We start from the raw sequence: 21,628 nt of genomic DNA, 5'->3' as shown, positions 1-21,628 counted from the left end.
ATCTGCGTGGGGACACAGCCAAACCATATCAGAGACGATAGCCTACATTCTCAGTGTGAATACTTGATTTCTGAATGAGCAGAACAGCCCTGTTTCCAAGACATATTGGGGGTTTGTTTGTTTGTCTTACCTGACAGTTTCCCCAAAGTATTAACAAAAGGAATTTTTTTTTTTGTTTTGCCTAAGAATTTTATCAGGCAGGAAAGGCTATGAAAACATTGAAAGCCAAATGAAAAGGTGCTGCCACCTGGAGCAAAAAGTAACAGATGGGGCAAATATTTGACACACTGAAAGGCTTGGAGGAAAATCTGGGAAGTGAGAGTTTTGGGGAATAAGGACTGTGAAAAGTTCCTACATATACCAAGTTAACTAAAAGGCCATACACATAAACAGGGTAAGACACTCAGAAAAGACTTGAAGAGATCATAAATTTGACCTCAGCTAAACTTTAAGCTCCACACTAGCAAGAGGTAAAGGCTAAGACAGAGTCAAAAATGGACAGGCTAAGCCCCAAAACAGACACCATTTACAAAGACATAGAGAATTTTCTTTCCTGCTTCCTTCTTTCTTGCTCTTCCTTTCTGCCTGCCTTCCCACCTTCCTGACTTTCTCTCTCTCTGTCTCTCTCTCTCTCTCTCCCTCAATCTCTATCTCTCCCCCTTTCTCTCTTTCTGTTACTCCAAGCATTTAAAGGAAAGTCTGCTGGGTCACTGGCTAACTGGTGAGCTAAAGGAACAGACAGTTTAGTAACCACATACAAAAAGAAATACAATATTTGCAAAAAACAGTTTGAAAAAGCCACTTGAAAAAATGGACAACTGGTCGGGTGCGGTGGCTCATGCCTCTAATCCCAGCAGTTTGGGAGGCCGAGGCGGGTGGATCATGAGGTCAGGAGATCGAGACCATCCTGGCTAACACAGTGAAACCCCGTCCCTACTAAAAACTACAAAAAAAATTAGCCGGGCATGGTGACGGGCACCTGTAGTCCCAGCTACTAGGGAGGCTGAGGCAGGAGAATGGCCTGAAGCTGGGAGGTGGAGCTTGCAGTGAGCAGAGATAGAGCTACTGCGCTCTAGCCTGGGTGACAGAGCAAGACTCTGTTTCAAAAAAAAAAAAAAAAAATGGACAACTGCAATCTACCATAAGCAACTAGAACTAACCCTGAAGAGTAGGGAGAATCTGATTTGCAAAGTTACCACATTTTAAAATTCAAAATAAAAGATGACTAGCTGAGCACTAACTAAAAGAACAGAGACCACAAATGCCAAAAGCAACAAAGAATGTAGTATCTGCCAAAATACTAAAAATGGAAAGTTTCATGAAATAAATATGAGGCTTTCAAAGAAATAAGAAAATATAGTGCAATCAAATGAAAAAATAAACTAATATAAACTGACTGAGGAATCAAAGTCATAGAACATGCTGGACAAAAACTTTAAATCAACTGTCTTAAGTATGTTTAAATAGACAAAAAAACTCATAGACCAATAACTAAAGGAAAAGAGGAAAATTATAGCTCAATAAATAGAGAATCTAAACAAAGATCAAAATTATAAAAGAAACCAAATAAAAATTGTGAAGCTGAAAACTACAATAAGTGAAATGAAAATTTCACTGAAGAAGTTCTACGGAAGACTTCAGTAGGAAGAAGAAAAGTGAGCAAATTTAAAGAAAGGTCAAGTGAAATTATTCAGTGTGTGGAGCAGAAGGAAAGAATAATATTGTAAAATGAGCAGAGCCTGAGAGACATGTGGGAGACCATACACATAAGGGAAATTCAAGAAAGAGAAGAGAGGAAGCGGCAAAAAAAATATTCGAAGGTATTATGATCAACAACACTCAAATCTGATAAAAGATATGAATCTAAACATCTAAGAATCTCGACAAAAATTTATAGATAGACAGAACCAGAGTGACACACACTAAAATAAAACTGTTGAAATCCAAGAACAAAGAGAAAATCTTAAAATCAGCAAGAGAGAAGTGACTCATCTTATTTAAGAGATCCTCAATAAGATAAACTGTAGATTTCTTATCAGAAACTATGGAAGCCTGAAGGGAGTAGGATGACATTTTTGAAGTGCTGAAAGAAAAGCACAGTGAATAAAGAATTTTATATTCTACAAATCTATGTTTCAAAAGATATATTAAGATGATGTCATACAAATAAAAGCTCAAGGAGTTTTCTACTAATAGACCTGTTCTACAAGAAATGCTAAAGGAAGTCTTTCAGGCTCAAATGAAAAGACATTAGACAGAAATTTAAAGTCATATGAAAAAAGAGAACAATGGTTTAGATAAATGTAGATGTCAGTATTATTGTATTTATGTTTTGTAGTGCTATATTTTCTGTATTATATAAAAAAATTGAAAAATAATTATAAACCTATACTAATGGTCACACAATGTATAAAGATGTAATTTATGACAAAATCATAGGAGTGAGATGTATAGAAGTAGAAATTTTGGATACTATTGAAGTTAAGTAGGTATTAATTCAAATGAGGTTTTTATATGGTTGAAATGCTCATTGTAATTTTTAAGATAGCCACAATAAAATAAGTAAACCCTATATACGTAAAGCTAACAGAATGGAATCAAAATTATATACTATAATAAGTCAACTAAGCATATAAGAATGCAGTTTTGGAGGAATTCAGTAACCAAAAACACATGAGAGATATAGAAAGCAATAGAAAAGTGGCAGAAGTCCTTCCTTATTGGTAATTACTTTAAATGAAAATTAAACTCTCTAATTAAAATGTAGAGATTGGAAGAATGTAATTTTCTTAAAAGATACATCTCTGTGCTGGATAGGAAACATTCACTTTATATTCAAAGACACAAATAGGTTGAAAGTGAAAGGATGGAAAAAGATATTCTCTTTAAGTCATAAGGAAAAGAAAACTGGAATAGCCAAATACCATATAAAAGAAAAATTAAGTAAAATCTTGCTAGAGATAAAGGGCATTACATATTAAGAAAAGTGTCAATTAATCAAGAGCATGTAACAATTATAAACACATATTCATTTAACAGCAGAGTCTGAAAATACATGAAGAAAAATTGAAATTAGACAATAGACAATAATAATAAGACAATTAGACAATAATATTGAACATTTCAATATCTTGTTTCCAATAATGGATAGAACAACTATATACAAGATCTATATCTTGTGCAATGTCGTATATACATAGCACTTCACTCCAAGGAATGAGAACATACATTCTTCCCAAATGCACATGGAATATTCTTCAGCATAAATCATATATTCATTCACCAAATGAGTTCTTTTTTGATTTGAGTTTAATTTATCTAGCTACTAACTAGCTATTAATCATCTATCTAACAAGCCAAACATATAATTTTATTTTTTCAGCTTTATTGATATGTATTGGATATATAAAGTTATATATATTTAAAGTGTATAACATGATTTGATATATGTATACATTATAAATTGATTTTCAGGTTAATTACATCTATTACCTCACACAGTTATTATTTTTTGTTTGTGTATAGTGACAACACTTAAGATCTACTCTGTTAGCAAATTTCAAGTATTATTAACCATAATCACCATGCTGTACATTAGCTCCCCAGAAGATATTCTTCTAAGAACTTAAAAGTTTTCACTTTTTGACTAGCATCTCCTCACTTCCTCCACTTTCCAGCTCCTGGTGACCACTATTCCACTCTCTGTTTCTATGAGTTAAACTTTTTTAGATACTACATTTAAGTGAGATCATGCAACATTTGTCTTTATCTGTCTGGCTTATTTCCCTTAGGATAATGCACTTCCAGTCCATCAATGCTGCTGCAGATGGCAAGATTTTCATTTTTTAAGGCTGAGTAATATTTCATTATATGAATAACCACCACATCTTCTTTATCTATTCACCTGTTGAGAGAAGTTAGATCGTTTCTATATCTTGGCTACTGTGAATAATGCTCCAATAAAAATGGGAGTTCAGATATCTCTTTGACATACTGATTTGATTTCCTTTGGATATGTAACAGAAATGGGAGTGCTGGCTCATATGGCAATTCTATTTTCTGTTTTTTGAGAAAAATCCATACTGGTTACCATACAGCTTTATTGATTTATATTTTCACCAACAATATATAAAGGTTCCCTTTTCTGTACCTCCTCCCCAAATTTTGTTGTCTTTTAACTTTTTGAAAATAGCCATCCCAACAGGTATGAGGCGATATCACTGTGGTTTAGAATTGTATTTCCTTGACGGTTAGTGTTGTTTGAGTACTTTTTCATATACCTGTTGGTCATTTGTATGTCTTCTTTGGAAAAATGTCTATTCAGGTCATTTGCCCATTTTGTAAATTATTTGCTTTTATTTTTGGATGTTGTTTATCTTCTTTATATATTTTTAATGTTAACTCCTTGTTATATACTTTACATATTTTTTTTGTTCCATTCAGTAGGTTGCCTTTTCATTGTATTGGTTGTTTCCTTTGCCGTGTTAAAATCTTTTAGTTTGATATCATCCTACTTGTTTATATTTTGCTTCTCTTGCCTGTGTTGTGGTATTATACAAAAAATCATTGCCAAGACTAAGGTCAAGGAGGATTTTCCCTGTTTCCGTTTGAAGTTTTACAGTTTCATAAAACTTATGTTTTAGTCTTTAATCTATTTATAACTGATTTCTGTGTACGGTGTAAGAGAAGAGCGCAATTTTAATTTTGTATGTGGATATTTAGTTTCTCCAGCACCATTTATTGAAGGGACTATTCTTTCATTATTGCATATTATTGGCACTTTTGTTTTAAGTTAGTTGACCATATTTGCATGTTTTTTTTCAGACTTTCTATTCTGTGCCATCAGTCTGTGTCTGTTGTGATGCCAATACCATACTGTTGTGATAACTATAGCTTTGTAATATAGTTTAAACACAGAATGTGTGGTGCCTCTAGTTTTTTTTATCTTTCTCAATATTGTTTTAGCTATTTAGGGTTTTTGCTGGTTCTATAGACATTCTGAATTTTTTTCTATCTATTTAAAACATATATAGGGTATTTTATATATAAGATACATATATGATATAGCACACATACATGGTATATGTGACATATATGATATATAGCATATCTATCGATCTATATCAAAAATAGATTGATAGATATATCTTACATATATGTGACTCTAGGTAAAATAAAGGTTTAAGCAATTATTCACTTTTGGCAGTATTCATAGTTAGTGAGTTTTCCCATTGTAGATTTTCTAGAAATTTTATGTTGCAGAAATTGTATCTGGATAACACACGCTATATAAAGTAATATATTCTAGTGATCAATTAACCCTATGCTAGTATAAGGGGATTTTGTTGAAAGTCATTATATAGGAAGATGATTAGGTTGACTTAAAGACAATGTATGACAAAGACACATGAAAATGATCTGATAATGTGCCTGTCTCTTCTGCAGTCCTTAAGTTCCTTAACTGAAGGAAAAATGTTAACATTTTCATAGTAAACCTTCTTTAAAAAAAAACAAACATAATTATTTTCCTTTCTGTTGTGCAGGTGGGTTGGTCTGAGTCTGCTCTACATTCCTCACCCACTATTAAATTAGTAATCTAATTAGAACATATTCTTTGCATGCTGATGGCAGAGACACAAGAAGGCAAACAGAAACATGTTATGTTTCTAAAGTTCTAGTTTTGAAACTACCATACTGTCTTGCCTATCCACATGCCAATGGCTAAATCAAGTCACTAGACCAAGTCCAAAGTCAAAGGCCAAGAGAGTATACTCACCATAATAAGTTTGTAGTTAAGGGTATGGTTGACATTTGGTTCAATATTCTATTTACAACAAGTAGTGTCATGTCTTTTTTTTTTTCCAGAACATCACACAGTTTCTGGTATTCAGCAGATAAGTAATAAATGTCTGTCAAATTGAACTGAATAAAAGTATTACTTCTTTAACTCAAATCTGTATTTGGTATTTTTGGTTGCAATAGACACTATCTCAATGTTAGGAAATGGGAAATTTGTAGAAATTTGGGGAACATTTTGTTTAGTAGGAAATTTGGGAGGAAAGGGTAAGAAAGTAAAGGAACTGAGAAAACACTAGAATACATGAACAGAAAATTCACAATCTGGGCACTATTGCTAAAATGATTCAGTGTATGTGAATATTTGTAAAGCACATATTCTATGGAGGTGAGAATTTTTATCTTTTTTGAACACTAACCCTGATCTCTAGATCAGTGTGTGACGTGGAATAGAGGATAAGCAAATTAATGAATATATATTTAATGAATAAGCATGTGTACATACTTATACTAATCCACTCAAGATTCAAAGTTCTGGGAGATAGAATCTGACTGCCTAGATCAGGTCACATGGCTATCAGATGTCTACTAGTTCACCCTGATTTACCAAACCATGGATGCTTCATACAAGGGGTAGATTCCTCAAAAGGAATTTGGGATGCTGTTACCAGAAATTGTGTGATTATACTGACCTAAGTATGTGCTCTGAATTGATATTACTAGACTGCATAAAAATCTGATGACTCATGATTGTATCTATACGTAGTTCAAACCTCATTCATATGAGGGTCTTCAAGATATAGTCATGACATTTCTTTCAAGGTTTTGATCTAATCAGTGTCCTCATTCAACCTGAGTCTCCAGCTTTTCTAAACATAATACAAGCATGCCATCTTATCTCATCCTTTCATAATGTATTGATTAGAGTATAAGCTAAGCTACTGTTACAAGAGGAACAGAAAATATAGCAGCTCTAATGAGATACAATTCTATTTTTTCTCATGTGACAGTTTAGACGTAGACAGGCAATTCAGAGTAGACAGATACCAGGTCTCTTCTAATTGGGTTGCTCAACCATTTCCCAGGACAGAGACCTCACATTCATGGTTAAAGTTTACTCACTATCACCTTGTCTGAATTTCAGTATAAAAAAGAGGAAAGGGAAGAAGCAAAAAATAAGCAACTTTCTTTTCAAATTTTATTTTTATTATTACTTTTTTTAGAGACAGGTTCTTGCTCTGTCATCCAGGCTGCAGTGCAGTGGCGTGATCATACCTCACTGCAGCCTCAAACTCCTGGGCTCAAGTAATCCTCCCCCCTCAGGCTCCAGAGTAGCTGGGCTTGCAGGTATGGACCACTACACCTGGCTATCTTTTTAAAGGATATGACCTGGAAAATGAAAACGTAACTTTCATTTACCTTCTAATGTCCTGAATATAGTCACATGGCCACACCTAGTCAGATAAAAACAATTCATAACCTCTATCACACATGCTTTTGCACATGTTGTACTCTATTTCTGAAATTCTGCATTTCCTCTTCTTTGTGCCTGTAGCAACTATAAGTGCCTTCTATTCTGAGAAATCTTTCCGAACTTCTCCTTGGAGACTTATTTAATAGCTGCTACATTTTAGAAATTTAACATCTGCACTTTAGAATTTATCATTTACTATGCATCTCCTTGAGGACCAGAAACATATAGAGCTTACACATATTTTTATTTCCAGAGGGTAGGTCGGTGCATTTTTTATTTAAAAAATCAACATCTTAAGAGTGTATTTTCACTCCAATTTACTATCAGATCACAGAATATATATTATGCTCATTAGTAAGATGGAGGCATATTGAAAAGCATTTGTTAGGAAAGGAAGCTACTGCAAAAAGAATTTTGCCTTCGTCCCCAGTCTCTTAAATGGGTTTATTGAAGCTTAACAAAGAAAACTGCTTTTCCATAGACATCTCTGGATGGAAATTTTCTTTTATAAGACAGTTTTGGCATTCTGTATTAAAACCTATACTGCACATGGGTGTATTGTTAGGAGACATTCAAATGCAGAAGTTTTCTAATGAGGGCTTTGCACATGTGTAAAGAATATTTAAGGGACAATGTCACAATAAGTCAGCATGCAAAGCAATGTATTTCTTCTGTTACTGGTTACGTTCCAAAGCAGAGCTGAGAGCAAAGACAGCTGATAATTGAAAAAGCCATTCTGTGCATTTATACTTCAATATGGTTAACGCAATTTCTATTAAACACAGTATTTTTCCTTCACAACAAACAATAACAAATAAAATCTTAGTCACTACTTGGTCCTTCAAAATTCGTAGTTGTTTTTTGTCTAATGCAGTTTGCTGCTGTTAAACTATTATTTAATGATTGAAACAGCTCCCTAGGTAAAAATAATAATAATAATAATATATAATTAATACAATAATACAAACAGGCTCAAGTTGACATAAATAGTTCTCTCATACCAGCTTAACTAATTTTGCTCAATAAGGTAAAAGAGGCAGAAAAGCAATGTTTTTTTTAAATAGTAATTTTCATGAAACTTGGAGACTAGCTTTGAGTTCCTTGCGTAAGACCTGAGAATATCTGGATGGAAATTAAAAATTCAGTCAAACCACTAAGTTGGTTTCATATAGGCCACAAAAATATTGTTGGACTAAGTGGTCATGGGATCTACTTATATTTTCTAATTCTGAATTCACTTAAAAATTATAAGTAAAGGCTCATCTAGATGTTTTAGAGAAAATTGGCTCAGTTACTCATCTTTGTGTGTCTGTCTTCCTCAGTATAACTGAACTTGTGAAAAAAAAAACAGTTCGTGTGTTTTATTGATTTTTGAAACTATGATAACATTTCTAGTATTTTTTTTTCTGATTTTCATGGTCATGGAGACCTCTTCTTTTTTTATACAACTAAGTGGACAGTCCATGCCTTTATAACAAAAGTTGAAAACTGTCACCAGGACCCTGGATTGAAAAGTAAAACAAAAATTTTTTAAAAAAGTACTGTGCTGCCCAATCTAGTTAGAAATGTTGCACTATAGCTAAAGAGAATGTCCTAGTGTTCATAACAAAAGACAGACTCAATGTTCTAGAAAATCCTAATAGTTATTCATAAATATTAAAACATTTTATATATCAATGCATACATTTTCTGGGCAACACATTTAATAACTCACTTGTTTCATATCTCAGTAAGAGTTCAACAAGAATATTTTTTAAAAGCAATATATAATTATCTAAGATTAAACATTTGTTTTGGAAGATATTTTAAAGACTTTCAGGTAAGTGTGCCTGTGACTTGCTACATGCTCAATTAAAAAGTTTTATTGGAAACTGTCTTCTTTAGGGTTGAGCCACTTATTGTATAAAATGAAGTAAAATGTAAGCCCCATCTCAAAATAGTTTCCAAGCTCATTCTAGTGCTCAATTTTACCCATATTTGAAGTCACATTCTTCAAATTTAATTGAAGTTAACTGAAGATTTCATTCAAAATGTCTTTTTGATTAAATCTACAGTGTTTTATCTTAAGTTCAATATTCTTTCTTTTTAATGTTTTTTGATGTTCCTAGTTTCATTTTCACAGAGTTTGGACTTCAAGTGCATTTGGTCTCACTATGTATCAGTCAGGACTCAATCAGTACTATTAATACTATGAGTGTTACAGAATAAGGAATTTATCATGCAAATTTAACAATAGGTGAAGGAACTATAAAAATAAAGGTATCAAAAGGAATTGGGAGGATCAGAGAAAAATCCCTACCCAGCTTTGGCACAGTCAGTTTGTAAGGAAGTTTGGAAAAATAGGCACATCCAGCTGCTAGAGCGGAACCATGAAGGGAGGTTGATGGCAGGTTCTTGGCTCTATATGGTTTCCACATCTAAGTTTCTACAAGTGTGTAATGGTTAGCCTCAGGTCACTGTTGGTCATAGGGGTGGCACTCTCACAGGAAAGCTGGATATAGACCAGACAGGAGCAAGTACGCATTAGAGTCCTCTGGAAACTGGATTTGAATCTTACTGCTTCTAACCAACAACCTGCAAAACATAAAGGTCCTATTCTTTCACCTGCCAAATCTCACACAACTGCAATTTTTGTCAATTCTAACCTGAAACCACAGAGTTAAGGGGATTCTGGAAAATATTTTTCCCAACATAATGCAGCTGACAATCAAACAGTCCAGTTCAGCTCATCCTTTGTCAAACTGACTCCACACATAGCTTTTTACCATATTTAACTTCCAAATAAAGGCAACAGCAAAGTCATGCTTCTTCCTAATATGACCCAATAATCCTTGCTTTCACACAATTCCAAACACTGTAACACTCTCCCTAAACATGATGCCTCAAAGTCCCATTTATCTATCTCTTGATGATATTCATTTCTCTTCTAGCAGTCACACTATTTCTCCTAACATTCTACAACTTAATAATGAGATATAAGGTTAACCACTCTAATATTTTCTACGTTTGATGTGTGTGTGTATGTGTGTGTGTGCATGTGCACACATGTGATACGGTTTGGCTCTGTGGCCCCACCCAAATCTCTGCTCTAATTGTAATCCCCACATGTTAAGGGAGAGACTTGGAAGGAGGTGATTGGATTACAGAGGTGGGTTTCCTTATGCTGTTCTCATAATAGTGAGTGAGTTCTCCGGAGATCTGATGGTTTAAAAGTGTTTGGCAGCTTCCGCTTTGCTCTGTCTCTCTCTCCTGCCACCATGTAAGATATGCCTTGCTTCCCCTTCACCTTATGCCATGATTATAATTTTCCTGAGGCCTCCCCAGCCATGCAGAACTATCAGTCCATTAAACCTCTTTTGTTTATAAATTACCCAGTCTCAGATAGTTCTTCATAGCAGTGTGAATATGGACTAATATTGTGTGTGTGTGTGTGTGCGTGCATGTATTATGTGTCTCATAAGTATTATAGATCTTGTTTCTGGTCATATCTGCTATTTACTTCCTTCTTCCACTACCTTTTGCAAACTTAAATCATTTCAAGATAAACTTATTTTTTTAAGAAGATTGAATTCTGCTGCATGTTAAGGAAAGGATTTGCTAATTTAAAAAATCTACAAATATATTGTCATAACTGAAATTCAAACCTCCTGTATAAATTTTTAGAGAAGGTCTCTTAGGTTGAACATGGTTCTTCAATCATTGGCATACCTGGGGCTATTTTGAACAAAGTTTTCCTGGTGTTCTAAGCCAGTATTTCTTAACCATGGCTGCATATTAGAATCACCGTGGGGAGTTTTGACACTATTAATGCATTGGCCCTGTTGCTTATAGATTCTATTTAATTAATCTAGGGTGGGGCCTGAGCATGAATATAATCTGAAAGTACAAAGGTGACTGTAAAATACAGTCTAGGTGGAGAACCAGCCACAGCTCTATACCCATCCTGAAATATCAAAATATATTTTACTCTGTCAAAGAAGAGTAGTTGGGCAAATTGGTTCAATTATTAGAATTTTAATTAAAGTATTCTAGTACTTCAATGGTAGAATTGTCATTTTCTTCACTGATTTTTCACTTCACTTTATCCTTCACCAGTTATTCAGAAAAAAAACACTACTATTTAGTAATATCGCTTTCTGCTATTTTCCCAATAAATCATCAAATTCATCACCTTGTTATATGTTCCATTTTCTCGTATTTGATTGGGTGCATTACTGAAAAACCATCATTAAACTCTGCATGGGCGAAACCCAAACTTCTTTCCAATATGGGATTCTTTATTTTTTATCTTTTGGTTATCTTTGAAACACAGTGTAATCCCTTTCATTCTGACACACTTGCTTTGGACTTATTGCAAGTTGTATTGAGGTAATAGATTTGGATAGTCAAGATGATTTTTTCAATTATTAAATGTGTCTTTGAATTCTCTTAATTAGGAACCCCAGCTGGATTGCTCTCTCTCTTTTTTTAATCTGTACTGAGTCCTGACAAATAATTAAATAATTGATGGCAAGTGCCAGAGTCCCAAGTGAGTTTTCCACTTTTCCACTTACTAGAAACCTTACTAGAGGGTTTTATTTATTTATTTATTTATTTATTTATTTATTTATTTATTTTCTGACAATGAAAAGACAGAGGATTCTGTTTTGTTTGGTTTGGTTGTTTTGCCAGATAGATAGATAGATAGATAGATAGATAGATAGATAGATATTAAGGATGGGATTTCTGAAGAAAAACAGAAAGGCTAGTTGGTAATTTATCTTTTCTAAGTTTAATAATTTCTCCAAAAGCTCCTCCCCAATGCTCTTTTATTTTGTAAGCAGAGATATTTTCAGTGAATTATGAGTATTGACTATAACTTAAAAACCCTTCCTTTGCAATAAATATCTTCAGATGAAGATATTCACCTCTAAAATGTGGCCAATAAGCCTGCAAAAGGCAGTGAACATAATATAATTACACTACTCCTTATTAAAATGCTCAACCATTTGCTACAGATGCACAGTTCATGGTTATGGAAAGGGGTAATTTGTTTAATAATATATCCACTCAGTTACACATAATGTAATTTAATCAGTACATTATATGCAGGCTTCAAATGTAAAGTATCTCAAATGATCAAAATGAATTATTAACAGTTTACAGTCATCAAGTCCTCATGGGGGAAGGGAGACATGGAGATTCGTCTTATCCCCTTATAAATCTTTTTTACCTTTCAGCGCATCTAAAGACAAATATTCTGAAAATTACCTGCTATATAAAAAAACAGAATAACTGGTCTTATGATTTGATATCAGTTTGTCCACACTGTAAGCTCATTTCATTTAAGAATAATGTATCAGTTACTTATTTTTCAGGCCAAAAACTTCTCTTCCTTTATACTCCATATTGAATCTATTACACATTCCTTAGCCCTATCTGCAAAATGTAATCATAATCTGACCATTTTTCTATTGCTGCTATGCTGAACCAGGACATCATCTTTTCTTACTTGGGTCATTGCTACAGACTCCTGATTTATCTTTCTACTTTTGCCCTTGTCTCTTTTAAGTACATTTTCAATTCAAGATTCAGAATGATGCTATTAAAATGAAAGCCAATTCCTGACATTCCTTTACTAAAAATTCTCCAGCAGCTCCCCATTTAAGTAAGGATAAAAGTCAAAGCCTTAGAATGACCTGAAAACTCTTCTTGTTAATCTGACCCCCATTATTTCTCTGACCTTATCTCCTATTACTCTCCCCATGGTTCATACAGTGCTGGTCTAACTGGCCTCCTCTAAGTTTCTTCAACACATCAGACATCTTTCTACCTTCAGTATTGCATAGACTTTGCATCGGTATGGGATATCCTTCCCTCAGATATCCTAATGCTTTACTCCCTCACCTCCTGCAGGCATTTATGAAATGCGGCCTCCTTAAAGAGGCCTTCCCTAATGGCCCTATTCAAAATTGAAAGTCCTTGGCTTTCCCATTTCACCCTGCTTTATTTTTCTTCTCTGTACATACCACTTTCTGCTTTTACTTATATATCTAAGGTATATATTCTTATTTAAATATTTTGATGTTATATCTCTGGCATGTGGCACAGAATTAGTGACTGTACTGGATTAGAAACTTATTGAATTAGTGACTATGCTGGAAACAGTGAACATCAGCAACAAATTACCTCTAGACCTATGGCTTGAATGTGTCCACAAATATGACTGTTTTCTTTTGACGTGATGGCAATAGTGAGAGAATTGTTCCCAGATTTGAATCACCAGTTAAGAATTCCACTATGCTATATTAGTTATCAATTGCTGAATTAAAAATTACGCCTAAAACTCTATAGTTAAAAGAATAAGCAAGCATTTAGCTTTACCTTGCTGGACTTGGGATTAGTTGAATAGTTCTATGGGTTTATGCCAGGTTCACCTGATCTTGACTAGTGTCACTCATGGGTCTATGGTCAGCTGGTTGGTTGATTGTGAGAACTGACTGATCTAACACAGTGTGAACTGGGAGGATTTGGTATCACACCACATAATTTTTAATCCTGTAGCAGGCTAACCTGGGTATGTTCACATGGTGTTCTCATGGGTCCAAGCAAAAGAGTAAAGCTCACCCAGCCTCTTGAGGTCTAAGCTCGGGATAGGCACATCTTAATTTCATATACATTCTATCACCAGTGCAAGTCACAAGGAAGCCCAGATTCAAGGGCATGAGAAAAGAGATTTTTCATTGATGGAGAAGCTGCAAAGCCACATTATAAAGAGCATCTACCACATAAACATTTCAAAAACATCACTCAGGGTCATGAATCATTAAATCCTTATGGTAAGGTAGAAAGTTTGGGAGATGATCTCTTCACATACCACATAACGGTAAAGTCGTTTTTACCCATTCTTAATGGAATATGTATACATATCCCCATTGTGACCAAGAGCTGATTATACTGGTATATATACAAAATTTTCTTGTTTTATTTTCATATTCTTAATAAATCAGTGTAATATAATCTTTTCTTAAAGAAAGGTAATTAGCTTAAGTCTTTTATTACTAATATGGAAAGAGACATTGAATGAAAGTATTTATATGCAACTTTATCAGGGACTTTGCAAAAATATCTTGAATGAAGCACACATCAAAATCATACTAGAGAACTTGGTATTGTTTGCTAATTATACATCAGAATATTTTAATGGGGGGGAGCAATGGTCTTGAGAAAAAGGTGTACTTGTTATGTAACTCTTGCCAGAGTAAGCAGTTATATGTGAATTAAAAATATGCATTCTGTTTGTCTTCATATACATTTAAGTATATGTATTTTGGTTATTGACATTTGCTGGTATTTTTTTTTTTTTTTTAACATGGAGTCTCACTCTGTCACCTAGGCTGAAATGCAGTGGCACCATCTCGGCTCACTGCAAGCTCCGCCTCCCAGGTTCACACCATTCTCCTGCCTCAGCCTCGTGAGTAGCTGGGACTACACGTGCCTGCCACTAAGCCCGGCTAATTTTTTGTATTTTTTTTTAGTGGAGACGAGGTTTCACCGTGTTAGCCAGGATGGTCTCGACCTCCTGACCTCGTGGTCCGCCCACCTCGACCTCCCAAAGTGCTGGGATCACAGGTGTGAGCCACCATGCCCGGTCTATTTTTTTCTTTTTCACTGATTACCTATTCTTTTCTTGTTTGATTTTTCTGCCTTTTCTCTATGGTGAACCATAATTCTTTTTTCTTCTCACTTTTATAATCTTGGAATCGGGTTACTCTTCACTTTCTGTCATATTCCCTTTTTAACTGGGTTGGAAACTTGAGTTTAAAGGAAAGGCTGATTCTTGCCTTATTCTGAAGATATTTCAAGTATCCTAGGGGGTGGGGCCAAGATGGCCCACAGAAGTAGCCGCCATCAGAGGCTCTTATGGAAAAAAACAAACATAATTAGCTTGTGAATTTACTAGAAGGCTGGCATAACCCACGGAGAGTAAGAATAGCAGTGTGGTGCTGAGAGAGAACACTCCTCATATTGTCTTATACTTAATTTCTTGTTTGCTGAAAAAGTAGAAGTTAAAACAGTAGGCAGAAGTGAAAAACATAGTCAGACAACCAGGTGCCACATTTCGGGCCTGGTAGTTAAAATTCAACCCCTGACCTCATGGCTGTGCTATCTATAGATTCCAGACATTGTATGAAAAAGTGTTATGAAAATCCCTGTTCTGTTGTTTCATTCTGATTACTGGTGCCCGCAGCCCCCAGTCACATACCCCTCACTTGCTCAATCAATCACGACCTCCCTCTCACACAGCCCCTTTAGAGTTGTGAGCCCTTAAAAGGGACAGGAATTACTTATTCAGAGAGATCGATTTCTAGGATATGAGTCTGCCAATGCTCCCAGCGGAATAAAGCTCTTTCCTTCCACAATCCGCTGTCTGAGGGATTTTGTCTATGATTCCTCCTGCTACACTATAGCTTACATGAGAGCCACGAGGGGAAGGAGAACCCCTCCTCCCAGCCAAGGGAGGCAGTGCATGAGCTGGCTACGCAGCCAGGGAAACTGTGCTTTTCTCATTGAATTGTGCAAACCACAGATCAGAAGATCCCACTCATGATCTCACACTCGTGATCTCACACTCGTGATCTCACACCAAGGCCTAGCGTCCCAACCCTGGAACTCGCAAATTCTTGCAGCCTCTCAGCTGGAATCTGCTTAAGCCTACTGAACTCCCGGCAGGAGGGGCGACCAACACAGGCTGCAGCTGACCTCTGTCTAAGCTGTTTGAGCTCCTTGGGGGAGGGGCAGCAGCCAGCACTGGGGCTAGCAACTGCCGAACACACTAAGCTCCCTGGGCAGGAGAAGTGGGGGCACCCATTTCTATAGCTCCAGGCTGTGCTTTTTCCCTACTGGAGCCAGGGTGGCTGGATGGCTTGGTCCTAAGACTTGTCCCCACAGTTCAACACACCAGCTGTGGCAATCTGAAACCAGAGTGCCTCTTCAGGTCTAACCCTGACACATCTTTCCTCAGTGTGTGGGGCTTCCTTGCAGTCTCTCCAATAACTCCAGCCAGAGGCTCAGGGACAGAATTTGAATATACCTGGGCCTGAACCCCTAGGGGAAGAGGTGGCCACAGTCTGCAAAGCAGCAGACTTAGCCTCTCATCCTGGTAGTTCTGAGGAATCCCGGCATCCCAGACAAGTGGCTTTCCCCCCAGCAAAACATACCCCCTCCACCAAGGGACAAAATGCTTCATTAATCGGATCCAACTTCTCATGCCCCCCAACGGAGTGATACCCTCCAACAGGGGTTGTCAGACACCCTACACAAGAGAGATCCTACTGGCATCAGGTTGGTGCTCCTTGAGGTCAGAGGTCCCAGAAGAAGGAGCAGGCACCCATCTTTGCTGCTCTCCAGCTTACTTGAGTGATATCTCCAGGCACGGGAGCGAATCAGATGCATAGGGCCTGAAGTGAACCCCCAGCAAACTGCAGCAGCTCCACAGAAGAGGGACCTGACTATCGCAGGAGAAACAAACAAGCAGAAAGTGACAACAACAGCATCAACAACAACATCAAAAAGGCCTCCACAAAAACCCCATCCAAGGGTCAGCAGCCTCAAAGGCCAACACTAGACGAACTCATGAAGATGAGAAAGAAACAACGTAAAAGTATTGAAAACCCAAAAGGTCAGAGTGCCTCTTCTCCTCCAGATGATCTCAACGTCTCTCCATCAAGGGCAAAAAAACCGGGCAGAGGATCTTATGGACATATTGACAGAAGCAGGCTTCAGAAGATGGGTAACAAAAACTATGATAAGCTAAAGGAACATGTTCTAACCCAATGAAAAGAAGCTAAGAACCTTGATAAAAGGTTAGAGGAATCGTTAACTAGAATAACCTGTTTAGAGAGGAAGATAAACGACCTGATAGAGCTGGAAAATGCAGTACAAGAACCTGGTGAAGAATAAACAAGTATCAACAGCAGAATCAACCAAGCAGAAGAAAGGATGTTGGAGTTTGAAGACCACCTTACTGAAATAAGACATGCGAACAAGAATAGAGAAAAATGTTTAAAAAGGAATGAACAAAGTCTCCAAGAACTATGGGACTTCATAAAAAGACCAAACCTATGATTGACTGGAGTACCAGAAGGAAACAGGGAGAATGGAAATGAGCTGTAAAACACACTTCAGGGTATTATCCAGAACTTCCCCAACCTAGCAAGACAGGCCAACATGCAAATTCAGGAAATACAGAGAACACCACTAAGACACTGTATGAGAAGATCAACCCCAAGACACATAATCATCAGAATCTCCAAGGTTAAAATGAAGGAAAAACTGTAACAGGCAGCCAGAGAGAAAGGCCAGGTCACCTACAAAGGGAAGCCCATCAGACTAATAGCAGACCTCTCAGCAGAAACTCTACGAGCCAGAAGAGATTGGGAGACAATATTTAACATTCTTAAAGAGAAGAATTTCCAACTCAGAATTTCATATCCAGCCAAACTAAGCTTCATAAGTGAAGGAGAAATAAAATTCTTTCCAGACAAGCAAATGCTGAGGGATTTCATTACTAGCAGGCCTGCCCTGCAAGAGATCCTAAAAAAAGCACTAAATATGGAAAGTAAAAACTGGTACCAGGCACTGCAAAAACACACCAAAGTATAAAGACCAATGACACTTTGAAGGAACTGCATCAACCAATGTGCAAAATAACCAAATAGCAGCATGACGACAGGATCAAATTCACATATAACAATACTAACCTTAAATGTAAATGGGCTAAATGTCCCAATTAAAAGACACAGACTGGAAAATTGAATAAGGAGTAAAAACCCATTGGTTACTATATTCAGGAGACTCATCTTACCTGTAAAGACACACACAGGCTCAAAATAAAGGGAGGAATGAAAATTTACCAGGCAAATGGAAAGAAAAAAACAATAGCGGTTGCCATCTTAGTCTCTGACAAAACAGACTTTAATCCAACAAAGATCAAAAGAGACAAAGAAGGGCATTACATAATGGTAAAGGGATCAATTCAACAAGAAGAGCTAGCTATTCTAAATATATATGCATCTAATACAGGAGCATCCAAATTCATAAAATAAGTTCTTAGAGACCTACAAAGAGACTTAGACTCCCACACAATAATAGTGGGGTATTAGACAGATCAACAAGATAGAAGACTAACAAGGATAAATAGTATTTCATTGCATGTATATACCACACTTTATCCATTCATCTCTTTATGAACACAGGTTGACTCTATCTTGACTATTGTAAATAGTGCTGAAACATATGGGGTGCAGCTCTCTCTTTGATACCGTGATTTTCTTTCCTGTAATATTGTAAATACACAGTAGTGGGATTGCTGGATCACATGGAACTTCCATCTTTAGTTTTATGAGAAGCCTCCATGCTTTTTTTCTTAATGACTGTACTAATTTACATTTCCATCAACAACGTATAAGAATTTCCTTTTCTCTTCATCCAGGATAGTGAGATTATATCTCGTTGTCATTTTGATTTGCATTTCTTTGAATAATAAGTGACATTGAACATTTTTTCTTATACCTGTTGGTCATTTGTTCTTTTTTTAAGAAATGTCTATTCAGCTCCTTTGCTGAATTTTAAGTCAGATTTTTTTTTTTTTTGCAGTTGAATTGTTAGTTCCTTGTGTATTATGGATATTAGTCCCTTGTGGAAAGACTAGTTTATAAATATTTCTTCCCATTCTACAGATTGTCTTTTTCTTCTGTTGATAGATTTTATTGCTGTGTGAAGACGTTTGTGTTGTAAATAATACCATTTGTCAAATTTTGTTTTTGATGCCTGTACTTTTGAGAGCTTACCCATAAAATCTTTACCTAGACCAATGTTCTGAAGAACCTCTCCTACTTTTTGTAAATATAGTTTTATAGTTTGTAGTCTTACATTTAAGTCTTTAATCTCTTTTGAGTGATTTTTGCATATGAGGAGAGATCAGGGTCTAGGATCATTCTTCTGCAAATGGGTATCCGGTGTTCCCAGAACCATTTATTGAAGAAATCCTCCTTTCCCCAGTGTATGTTCTTAGTTCTTGACAGCCTTGTCAAAAATTAGTTGGCTGTGAGTATGTGGATTTATGTCTGGGTTATCTATCCCATTCCATTGGTCTATGTGTCTGCTTTTATCCTAATAGCATGCTGTTTGGTTACTATTGCTTTGCAGTGTATTTTGAAGTCAGTTAATGTAATTCCTCCAGCTTTGTTCTTTTTGTCCAGTGTTCCTTTGGCAATTAAGGGACTTTGTAGTTCCTTACTGATTTTAGAATTTTTGTTCTATTTATGTGAAGATGCCATTGGTATTTTGATAGGGATTGCATTGAATCTATGGATTGCTTTAGATAGTATGGTCATTTTACCAACATAAATTCTGCTGATAGATGATCATGGGATGTCTTCCCAATTTTATTATGTTCTTTTCTATTTTTTCATCAATGTTTTATAGTTTCTATCACAGAGATCTTTCACCTCCTTGATTACTTTTATTCCTATGGGATTTTTTGTTGCTATAATAAACAAAATCGCTTTCTCAGGTATTTCATATTGGTATATAGAAATGCTACTGCTTTTGGTATATTGATTTTGTAACCAGCAACTTTAGTGAATTTATTTATCAGTTCTAAGAACTTTTTGGCAAAGTCTTTAGGTTTTCTATATATAAGACTGTGTCATGTGCAAAGAGGGAAAATTTGACTTTCTCTTTTCTAATTTGGATGCTCTTTATTTCTTTCTCATGCCTATTTTCATGTCTAGGACTTTTTGTACTGCATTGAATAAGTGGGGTAGAGGAACACATCTTTGTTTTGTTCTGGTTGTTAGAGAAAAATATTTTAGCATTTCTTTATTCAATTGGATGTTATCCATGGATTTGTCATATAACCCTTACTGTGTTGAGGTATGTTCCTTCTATATCTAATTTGTTGAGAGATTTTATCATAAAGGAATGTTGAATGGTATTTTTTTTCTGTATCTATAGAGAGAGTCATGATATCTCACAACAACAGAATAAAGGACAAAAAACCATATTTGTATGTTGAAGCATCCTTGCATTTCTGGGATAAAACCTGTGTGATCATGGTGTGTCATGTTTTTGATGTGGTGTTGGATTTAAGTTTGCTAATATTTTGTTGAGAATTATTGCATCTATGTACATTAGGGATATTGGCCTGTAGTTTTTTGTTGTTGTGTCCTTGTCTGCTTTTGGAATCAGGGTAATGCTGGCCTTGTAGAATGAGTTTAGAAGTATTCCCTTTGCGTCTATTTCTCAGAAAGGTTTGAGAAAAATTGCTACCAGTTCTTCTTTAAATGTTTGGTAGAATTCAGCAGTGAAGCCATTGGGTCCTGGACCAGGTGAACAGTCCTCCAACCCCTGCTCAGCAAGCCTGAGCTTCAGTGGTGGCTGTGACAGGTCACATGTGGGCTGGTTCTCAGTCTCTAGGCAACAGGCAGGTGCACAGCAGCCAGCTGCTGTAGCAGATAGAGTGTTTTGTAGCCCTAAGAAGGTGGCCCTTAGGGTTTTAGAAGCAGGTACTATGGCTCCTTTTGTCTTGATGACAGCCTCCCCTATGTACTGGACAGCCTCTTCTTTGGGGTACCGAGTACAGTATGGGCTGGGATGGTGGGAAGGTAACTGCACTGCTGGGTCCATCTGGTGTTGGAACGCTTCCAGCCCTTTCGGTGTATGTGGGGAAATGTTAGTGGAGTTCCAGGGATTTGGAGATGCAGATGCTATTGTGCCCCAGGACAAGATGTAGTCTGATGTTTGCTCATCTCTCAAAATGGTGCTATGAAGCAGCAGCCTGGGTCTCAAGGATAAGGAAGGCCTAGCATGAATTTTTCTCTCTGGGACAATGCAGTCACAGGGACTCCAGGAAGTTGAGGGCCTGTGAGGGCTGTAGGGCTCTCCTGTATCAGGACTGCAGGCATCCGTTGTGCGAATGTGGCAGGCAGCTTTGCTTCCCTCTCTACGCTGCCATGTTAAGTTTCCATGCTTCACGAGATCGGGATCTTTGTTAATTCCTTCCTTTCCAGTGTTTTTTCTCAGAAGCTCTACTGGACATGTGGTTATCAATTCGTTGCTTTGGTTCTTCTTTGTGGAGGACATGAGTGCTGAATGCCTCTACTCAACCATCTTGATGACACCTCCTAAAAAAGATCTCTTTCAAAAATTCTGACAGCTTGCCACTTAGTGTTGCTACTAAAGAACAGAGAGGGTGAGCCTATTGTACTCATCTCAAATGAGGTACCGAAATTTGATTGGACATCATAAATGCAGTAATGGGTGCTCTTTGAGAGATGAGGAAATTGGTTAGAACACCTCTACGTTTGAAGCGGC

The 21,628-nt window shown here is 36.4% G+C and overlaps 1 long non-coding RNA gene across 1 annotated transcript in view, besides 1 other annotated feature; it reads right to left on the bottom strand.

Annotated features, from left to right (window-relative positions):
• The window catches only part of DISC1FP1 (DISC1 fusion partner 1), a 663,821-nt gene that overhangs the window by 123,894 nt on the left and 518,299 nt on the right, over positions 1-21,628 (bottom strand). The window lies entirely within an intron of this gene.
• Positions 15,506-16,244: an enhancer, noted in NCBI's record as "NANOG-H3K27ac-H3K4me1 hESC enhancer chr11:90508083-90508821 (GRCh37/hg19 assembly coordinates)". NCBI's record gives its function as "activates a minimal SCP1, AML or CMV promoter by ChIP-STARR-seq in primed H9 embryonic stem cells {active_cell/tissue: H9 hESC(primed)}" and the evidence as "EXISTENCE:reporter gene assay evidence [ECO:0000049][PMID:30033119]".

This window comes from Homo sapiens, chromosome 11 (assembly GCF_000001405.40).
Source record: "Homo sapiens chromosome 11, GRCh38.p14 Primary Assembly".
NCBI classification, from domain to species: domain Eukaryota; kingdom Metazoa; phylum Chordata; class Mammalia; order Primates; family Hominidae; genus Homo; species Homo sapiens.
This window is presented reverse-complemented; position numbering and strand designations above follow the sequence as displayed.